Source organism: Homo sapiens, chromosome 6 (genome assembly GCF_000001405.40).
Source record: "Homo sapiens chromosome 6, GRCh38.p14 Primary Assembly".
Lineage (NCBI taxonomy): Eukaryota > Metazoa > Chordata > Mammalia > Primates > Hominidae > Homo > Homo sapiens.
In genome coordinates this window covers 71178472-71188769 of record NC_000006.12, presented here as the reverse complement: position 1 = coordinate 71188769, position 10298 = coordinate 71178472, and the positions used below count along the sequence as shown (strand labels likewise).

General features: G+C 37.5%; 1 pseudogene, besides 1 other annotated feature; it reads right to left on the bottom strand.

Annotated features, from left to right (window-relative positions):
- RNU6-411P (RNA, U6 small nuclear 411, pseudogene) lies at positions 6052-6158 on the bottom strand (annotated as a pseudogene).
- Positions 6970-7264: a silencer, noted in NCBI's record as "tiled region #8662; K562 Repressive non-DNase unmatched - State 24:Quies". NCBI's record gives its function as "represses a minimal TATA promoter and a strong SV40 promoter by Sharpr-MPRA in K562 cells {active_cell/tissue: K562}" and the evidence as "EXISTENCE:reporter gene assay evidence [ECO:0000049][PMID:27701403]".

Below are 10298 nucleotides of genomic sequence, written 5' to 3'. Positions count from 1 at the left end.
CTGGGTTAAAGCAATCCTCCAGCCTCAATCTCCTAAGTAGCTGGGTGGGACCACAGGTGCATACCACCATGCCTGGCTAATTATTTTATTTTTTCAGAAATGGGATCTTGCTTTGTTGCCCTAGCTGATCTCAAACTCCTGGGCTCAAGTGATCCTCCTTCTTTGGCCTCCCATAATGCTGGGATTATAGGTGTGAGCCACTGTGCCCAGCCTAGAACAGTTTCTTAATTTTCAAACATACTGACTTTTTTTTCTAGTTATCTCTTTGCTATTGAATTCTAGAATGATTGTAATTTGGTCACAGAATGTAATTCCTATGGTGCCAAACCTTTGGAATTTGTTGAGACTTGCCTCATGGTCCAGTATGAATCAATTTGTATAAATGTTCCATGGGCCCTTGAAAAAAGTGAAATGTGTATTCTGCAGCTTACGTCCATTAAATTCAGCTTGTTAATTCTGGTGCTGAAATGGCCTAATCTGCATTGAGTCTTTTGTCTGCATTAAAATACTCTGAAAGAATACATAGGAGACTAGTACATTGCTTTGAGACAGGGAACCATGTGGCCATGGAGGAATGCAGAGCTCTCTCCATTCCAGATAGCATTGCATCTCCCCAGGCCTGGACCTTGCTATTAGAGGAACTGCAAAGGAGACCCCCAGACCACCTCCTGATCCTGGAAAGACTCCCAATCCCTGACACATGACACTCCCAGCTCACTACAACAGTCTGACAAAGACAGTAATCTTATGAAGGGGACTAAAATTGAAACCGACAGTATGTTTTCCCCTAAGAGAATGTCAGGAGTACACCACCCTTCCTCACACCCTTACTTATCTCAGTCAGTATGAACAGCTCAAGGTGTTGGGTCACATGCATTATTTTTTTACCTTTTTCATAAAATTCTGTACATCCGCTCATCTGACCTAATCCCACACACTGACCCATCCTAAAAACTTTCACTGCAATCTTGGGAACTGAGCCATGTATCAGCAAAATCGCCTGTATCTTCAACCTCTCCTCAAAATGCTCCTCCAACCTCTTACTTTGACTGAAACCTGCCACCTTGCTTTGTATTTAAGTGTCACAAAGTTGCTATTTGTTTTCTCACACCCCTACAGGGTCTGGAGCAGAGTGGATGTCCTCATTATTGCTTCTAGACCAGCGCTCTGGAAGTGTGGTCTACAGACCAGCAACAACCACGTCACCTGGGAGCTTGGAAATAGAGAATCTCAAGTCCCACCTGCAACCTACCGAATCAGAATATGCATTTTAACGAGACCCCCCAGTGCTTTGCATCAACACCATAATCTATTTTCAAGCAGAACACTCAAAGTAAGGAACAATCTGAAGCCCACAAAGCTACACCAGACATTGCTTCTGGTTTCTTCTATGACTGCCGCTTGTCTGTTTCTCCCACTTCCTTCCTTAGCTCCACACAGACTCTTGATGTTCCTCAAACACTCCAGCATGTTCCTGCTTCAGGAGCTTTTTATTTATAGCCTCCTCTGTCTGAGACACTTTCCCATCAGTTAACCTCACAGCCCACTCCCATACTCCATTCAGGCCTCTGCAGAACCCACTTTTCAGACAGCCCTCCTTGATTGACCTACATAAATACAGTAGCTGCCTACCTGCCCACAATTATTGCCTACTTTCTTTTTCTTCTAATAGCTTTAATATGTATATATTATTCATCTGTTTCTTTAATTCATTTTATCAATCTCTTCCTTTCTCTGTTTCTCTATCATCACACACACAACAATAAAAGGCCCACATCAGGAGAAATGTCCTCTATTTTTTTTGACTGCTGTTATCTCCAGCATGGAGAACATGTTTCCAGCATGGAAAACAATACCTGCATATTGTAAGTGCTCAATAAACTATTTCCTTACAAAGTAACAGATGAATGAGAAGCAAAGATGAAAAAAAATGCTGTCACTGTATAACCATATATACCTTCCAAATTTGAACCATGGGAACATTATTATCTGCTCAAGAAAAGATTACTTAAATGTTTATTGTTGCCGTCAGCAAAGATTTTAGTTATTTATTTTTTAATTTGTACTATTTTTATTGTTGTATTCCTATTGTTTTACTAATAACACTTTTTAAACTTTTAGCTTCATGGGTACATGTATAGTTTATTATATATGTACATTGCATGTCATGGGGGTTTGGTATACAGATTATTTCATCACCCAGGTAATAAGCACAGTACTCCTCCATAGGTAGTTTTTCACTCCTCATCCTCCTCCCAACCCCTACCCTCAAGTAGGCCTTTGTGTCTGTTGTTCCCTTCTTTGTGTCCACATATACTCAGTGTTTAGCTCCTACTTATAAGTAAGAACATGCTATTTGGTTTTCTGTTCCTGTGTTTGTTCATCCATGTTGCTGCAAAGGACCTGATCTCATTCTCATTCTCATGATCTCATTCTTTTTTACGGTTGTGTAGTAATCCATGCTATATATGTACCATATTTTCTTTATCCACTCTACTGTTGATGGGCATTTAGCTTGACTCAATGTCTTTGCTATTATGAATAGTGCTGCAGGGAACATTCACTTGCGTGTGTCTTCACGGCAGAATGATCTATATTCCTTTGGGCATATAGCCAGTAATAGGACTGCTGGGTCCAATGGTAATTCTAGTTTGAGTTCTTTGAGAAATCACCAAACTGCTTCTCACAGTGGCTGAACTAATTTACACTCCCACCAGCAGTATATGTGCATTCCCTTTTCTCCACAACCTTGCCAGCATCTGTTATTTTATGACTTTTCATTAATAGCCATTATGACTGATGTGAGCTTGTATCTCACTTTGATTTGCATTTCGCTAATGATCAGTGATGTTGAGCATTTTTTCATATGCTTGTTGACTGCATATATGTCTGCTTTTGAAAGGTCTGTTCATATCCTTTGCCCACTTTTTAATGGGGTTGTTTGTTTTTTGCCTGTGAATTTCTTTAAGTTCCTTACAGATGCTGAGTATTAGACATTTGTCAGATACATAGTTTGCAAATATTTTCTCACATTCTGTGTGTTGCCTGTTTACTTTGCTGATGGTTTCTTTTTGCTGTGCGGAAGCTCTTTAGTTTACTTAGGTACCATTTGTCAATTTTTTTGTTTTGTTGCAATTGTTTTTGGTGCCTTTGTCTTGAAATATTTTCTAGGTCTTAAGTCCAGAATGGTATTTCCTAGATTATCTTCCAGGGTTTTAATAGTTTTGGGCTTTACATTTAAGTCTTTAATCCATCTTGGGTTGACTTGTATATAGTGTAAGGAAGAGGTCCAGCTTCAATCTTCTGCATATGGCTAGCCAATTATCCCAGCACCATTTATTGAAAAGGGAATCCTTCCCCTATTGCTTGTTTTTGTTTACTTTGTTGAGATCAGAGGGTTGTAGTTGTGTGGCATTAATCCTGGGCTCTCTGTTCTGTTCCGTTGGTCTGTGTATCTGTTTTTATATCACTACCATGCTGTTTTGGTTACTGTAGTCTTGTATTGTCGTTTGAAGTCAGGTAATGTGATGCCTCAAGCTTTGTTCTTTTTGCTTAAGATTGCACTGGTTATTCAGGCTCTTTTTTCATTCAATATGAATTTTAAAATAGTTTTTTTTATAGTTCTGTGGAGAAGGTCATTGGTAGTTTGGTAGGATTAGCATTGAATCTGTAATTGCTTTGGGCTGTATGGGAATTTTAACATATCGATTCTTTCTCTCCAAGAGCATGGATTGTTTTCCATTTGTTTGTGTCATCTCTGATTTCTCGCAATTCTCATTGTAGAAATCTTTCACCTCCCTGGTTAGCTGTATTCCTAAGTATTTTATTCTTTTTGTGGCTATTGTAAATGAGATTATGTTCTTGATCTGGCTCTCAGTTTGGATGTTGTTGGTGTATAGGAATGCTACTGATTTTTGTACATTAATTTTGTATACCGAAATTTTGCTGAAGTTGTTTATCAAATTAAGGAGCTTTTGGGCTGAGACTATGGGGTTTTCTAGGTATAGAATCATATCATCTGCAAACAGGGATAGTCTGACCTTCTGTTTTCCTATTTGGTTGCATTTTGTTTCCTTCTCTTGCCTGATTCTTCTGGCTAGGACTTCCAGTACTATGTTGAATAGGAGTGGACAGAAAAGGCATCTTTATCTTGTTCCAGTTTTCAAGGTGTATGTTTCCAGCTTTTGCTCATTTAGTATAATATTGGCTGTGGGGTTGTCATAGGTGGTTCTTATTTTTGAAGTATGTTCCTTCAATGTCTAATTTGTTGAGGGTTTTTAACATGAAGCGGTGTTTAATTTTATGAAGTCTTTCAACATCAACTGAGATGATCACGTGGTTTTTGTTTTTTGTTCTGTTTATATGATGAATCACATTTATTGATTTGTATATGTTGGACCAAACTTGCATCCCAGGGATAAAACCTAATTGATTGTGGTGGATTAGCTGTTTCATGTGCTGCCAGATTCAATTTGCTACTACTTTGTAGAGGATATTTGCATCTATGTTCATCAAGATTATTGGCCTGAAGTTTTCTTTGTTGTGTCTCTGCCAGGTTTTGATATCAGGATGATGCTGCTCTCATAAAAGGAGTTAGGGAGGAGTCCCTCCTCCTCAATTTTTTGGAATAGTTTCATTAGTAATGGTACCAGCTCTCCTTTATACATCTGGTAGAATTGGGCTGTGAATCTTTATGGTCCTGGGCTTTTTCTGGTTGGTGGGCTTTTTCTGGTTGGTAGGCTTTTTATTACTGACTCAATTTCAGAACTCATTATTGGTCTGTTCAAGGATCCCATTTCTTTCTGATTCAATCTTGGGAGGTTGTATGTTTCAGGAAATTGTCCATTTCTTCTAGGTTTTCTAATTTGTGTGCATGGAGGTGTTCATTGTAGTTTCTGAGGGTTTCTTTTTTTTGTATTTCTGTGGGGTCAGTGGTAACATCCTCATTGTCATTTCTGATTGTGTTTATTTGAATTTTCTCTCTTTTTTTCTTTACTAGTCTAACTAGAACTCTTATTTATTCTTCCAAAGAACAAATTCCTAGATTTGTTAATCATCTTTTGTATGGTTTTTCACATCTCAGTTTCCTTCAGTTCAGCTCTGATTTTGGTTATTTCTTTTCTTCTGCTAACTTTGGGGTTGGTTCCTCTAGGTGTGATATTAGGTTGTTAATGTAAGATCTTTCTAACTTTTTGATGTGGACATTTAGCACTATAAATTTCCCTCTTAACACTGCTTTAGCTGTGTCCCAGAGATTCTGGTATGTTGTATCTTTGTGCTCATCAGCTTCAAATAATTTCTCAATTTCTGCCTTAATTTCTTTGTTTACCCAAAAGTCATTCAGGAGCAGGTTGTTTAATTTCCATGTAATTGTATGGTTTTGAGTGATTTTCTTAGTATTTATTTCTATTTTTATTGTGCCATGATCCAAGAATTGTTTGGTATGAATTCGGTTTTTTGAATTTGCTGAGAATTATTTTATGACCAATTGTGGTCAATTTTAGAGTATATGCCATGTGCAGACAGAAAGAATGTATATTCTGTTGGTTTGTGGTAGAGAGCTCTGTAGAGGTCTATTAGGTCCATTTGATCAAGTGTCGAGTTCAGGTCCTGAATATCCTTGTTAGTTTTCTTTACTGATGATGTGTCTAATACTGTCAGTGAGATGTTGAAGTCTCCCACTATTATTGTGTGGTTATCTATGTCTCCTCATGGGTCTTTAAGAACTTCCTTTATGAATCTGGGTGCTCCTGTGTTGGGTTCATATATTTTTAGGATAGTTAGTTTTTCTTGTTGAATTGAACCCTTTGCCATTTTGTAATGCCCTTCTTTGTCTTTTTTTATCCTTTGTTGGTTAAAGTATGTTTTGTCTGAAATTAGAATAGCAACCCTTGCTTTTTTCTGTTTTTCCTTTCTTTGGTAGATTTTTCTGCATCCCTTTACTTTGAGCCTGTGGATGTCACTGGATGCGAGATGGGTCTCTTGAAGACAGCATCCATTGGGTTTTGCTTCTTTATCTAACTTGTCTCTCTGTGCCTTTTAATTAGGAAAAAAAAAATGGAATGCTTCATGAGTTTGGCTGTCATTCTTGTGCAGGGGCCATACTAATCTTTTCTGTATTGTTCCAATTTTAGTATATGTGCTGCCAAAGCGAGCACTACTGAAATGGTTTTTAAAGTTGCCCTAACATCCACTGCTTCCCTCTATTCATTCACAAAGGAAGATGTGCTCCTTCTCTGGTTGAAAGACTACTCATCAAAATAGAATCTTTATTCCACTTTCTTCTGATTTCACATAAAATTGGCTCCAGCAATATTCCCTCACTCTACTTTATTTCCACTTAAACCTTTAAATGTAGTCAGCCTTTGAATGTAGTCAGGATTTTCCTTCAGAGAAAACAAGCAACCTGCCTAAAACAGACTATCCATTCATGCTTATCCAAGTCTCTTCTAAGTGTTGATTACACTTGCTGCCATTCACTTCTCAATGTGTTGCATTTTGCCCTTTGTTCCCACTAACCCACTTAACTTAAACTAACCCACTATTATCTCCGATTATTAGATACAATTTCTGTTTTTAATCTCACTGGATGGTGCTGTCCTGTTGTCCCCCTAGATTTTTATCTTTCCTTCTCATCCTTTTTCACTGACTCTTAAATGTTATGGTTCTCCAGGGTTTGCTTCAGACCCTTTCTTTCAATGTGACCTTCTTGAGTGGTCACATTCATTTTACAGTTTGTGTCTACATGTTGATAACTTGTAGAGTTAACTAATCTCTAACTCTGTCTCAGACTCGCCCACAGGTGTCTTTCTTATAAACAGCTAAAAACATGGAATAAAACAGATGAAGACATGGATATTACTATATCTGGGGAGGATACAAGGTCCTCCCTGGGATGGGCAATGTGGACCCTGCTTGTCTCTCTGGCCACATCTCCTTCTAACTCCAGCAACTCCCAAACATGTGATATTGTTCCTAGTCCTGTGCCTTTGCTCATGCTAACCATTATGCTTGTAACACCCTCACCCACCCCACTGCATTCCTTTCTTGGAATGACTAAGCATTCCTATCTCTCCAGGCTGGGCTAGGTGCCTTCCCGCATTCCCCATCCTCTGTAGCAACATCTCTCAAAGCATTGACTAATACTGTATTAAAACCATCTCTTTGTGAATTAGCTCTTGCCCTTTATCTGTGAGGTTCCTCAGGGCAGATGTTGGGTCTTATCGATCTTATTCTCAGTACCAAGCACAGGGTCTGTCATATTAAAAAGTGCTCAACAAACAGCTGTTTAACTGAACTGGTAATTACATTGACTATATTAGGCTCTAAGAAAAACTAAGGAAACAAGAGATGGTTTCCCCCTATTCTTTTGCAGGAATAAAACCACACAATAAAAGCCCTACCAGACAATTTTCACATGTGAATCCATCTGTTCTGTGAGTATACTCTGGAGGTGTTTGCTTCAGATCAAATCAGGCTATAAAAAGAGAACTGAATCTTGATCAGGGGTTGCCAGAGTATGGCCTTCTTTAGAGCTAAATGACAGCTCTAGTTATAGATTTTGTTTCTAAGGATGACATTGGTGCTGCAGTACATTGCAACAGGAATGCATCAGTGTGAGAGCACTTATGATGGTTTCCTTTCCCCCTCAGCATAAAAATAGCTTGTCCCTCTAGGAAAGATAGCCTGACTTTATTAATGAAAGTGAAATTCTTCCTAAGGCCCTAACAGTATATTTAAAATGAATAGAAAGCACCACCAATGACAGATAAGATGAATTTTGCCCAAATTGTCCTGGAGCCCTTTCCTATGTATTTTGGAGAATATGAAATAAATACATGGGTTACCATATCTTCTGAAAAGATATTGAAGACACATTTCTTTACTCTGACTTTCCTATATGTATTTCATTCTATACTTACACAACTTAAAGTTACTGTTCTGAGAAGTGGTTTCCAGTTTTCCCAATGAGAAGTAAAAATGAGTTCTTAAACCAGAAATAAAACTTTCATAAAGTCACTTTAAGGGTTTATATTGTATCCCCCAGCAACTTGTGATTAATAGATTGCATGTTTAACATTAATATCCATGTTTAAAGAGATCTCTGGTTACCTAACACAATTTCTTTATTCCTTTTAGCAACATAGTTCAATTTTTAAAATACAAGTGTTATTAAAAACATCTCAAATCTTTCCTTGCCTTGCTTTTTTCTAGACAATTGTATAAACTTGAAAGCACCAAGTAGCTATTACATCTTCCATTTTTACTTCTTGGACTTAGACTGTTTTACTTCCTATGAAGCAAATGCCTTTGATATATATACACTTTGATAATAACTGGTAACATTATCTGACCTTAAAGGTTATTGGTAGAGATGAACATATTATAATGTTTTCTTATTTCTAAAAAAAAAAAAATACATCCCGACTTCATAGCTTATAATTTTGCCCATATCAGATATGAAGGTAAGAAAAGCTACACAACCTATAATTTCTGTTTTTGATAATAGAGGATTATAAAACCTGTTCAGAATTTATCCTCATTCTGTAAGAATGTGCCCTATTCCAACAGACATTTCAGAACATCAATTACTATGCATGCAGTAATTTTGAGATATTATTTATAATTCCTTAAAATGAAACTAAGATCTTTCTACTCTAACCAGTTTTAAATAAGGATCCGTCAGTGAATCCAGGACTAGTACTACATGAAATTGTCAGAAAAAAAAATGTGTCTATTTTTTCAGGGAGAGAGGATCAGTGGTTTACATCAGATTCTCATTGTTCTCATTGTGATTAACAAAAGGCTAAATTCCACTGAAATAAGTAAAGCCTGCTCGTAGATATTCTTCCTTCTATCCTTTCTTTCATTTCTTCCAGTATCTTCTAGATTCAAAATTCACTGGAAAGTACATTGAACTAGAAGTCACAAAACCCAGGAGCTACTTCCAATTCTATTATTTACTAACCATGTGGCTTTGGGCAAATAGCATTTCTCTAAGCGTTAGTTCTCTTATCCTAAAATATAGATAATAATGCCCTACAGTTCCCCACCAAATGGGGAGGGCATAGCCTGAGTTATCAGAAACCAACAGCCGATTCCCCTTTCCTGAATGGAGATAAACATAACAATAAATCAACATAATAATTAGAATGTAAAAGAAGAAATCACTTTCATGGTTAAGACATTTTAAAATTTCACTCATCAGTTATGTAATGAAAAAGATGTCAAATCAGGAAAGGAAAAAATGTGATTTATTTAGTCAGTGGGGAGGACAGACACCCTGGTTGCCAACCATGCCGGTTCAGAGTGACAGCCCTGGAAGGCTGCTCTCGGATAAAGTCATTCCTGTCAGCATTCTCACTGACATTCTTTATAAGATACATTTTGCTACCATTACATTAAATTTAACTTATGTTATAAATGATGGGAAAGTTTTTGTCTTAAAAATAGTCACTCCATCTGTATTCTGAAATTATTCTATTTCACCGCCATTGTTTATTGTGCTGTCTCAACCAAGCACTGTAGTCCATTCCATATGGGACACATCAGAGTAGCAATCTTTTTGATGGTTCAAACCTCAAATAAAATAATGTATGCATAAAGATCCCTAAAGTATTTAGTTTAAGTGTTCTTGCACACAATTCAACAATTTCTGAGTGATGCTTTTTCTCCCATTTTCTTCCTTCTCTTTCTCTCTCTCACTCATCCTCTCAATAACAGACAACAACAAAAAATCAATATAATAATAACTAGATGTTAGTCTATTTTGTGTTGCTGTAAAGGAATACCTGAGATTGGATAATTTATGAAGAAAAGAAGTTTATTTGGCTCATGGTTATGCAGGCTGTGCAAGCATGGCACCAGCATCTGCTGGGCTTCGGATGAGGCTTCAGGAAGCGTTTACTCATGGAAGAAGGCAAAAGGGGAACAAATGTGTCCCATGGTGAGAGAGGAGGAGGTGCCAGGCTCTTTAAACAACCAGCTCTCACATGAACAAATAGAGTGAGAACTCTCATTCATTACCATGGGGAAGGCACCAACCCGTTCATGAGGGATCCGCCCGCATGACCAAAACAACTCCCATTAGGCTCCTGCCCCAACACTGGGGACCACGTTTCAACGTGACATTGGGAAGGGAACAAATTTCCAAACTATATCACTAGCATATAGTAGAACTTACTATCTGCCAACCATTCCACTCAATGCTAATAAACATATTTATGACATTAATGGATTCATGATCAATGTATTATTTCATTTAATGTTCTTTACAACCCTATGAGGTAGGTACTATT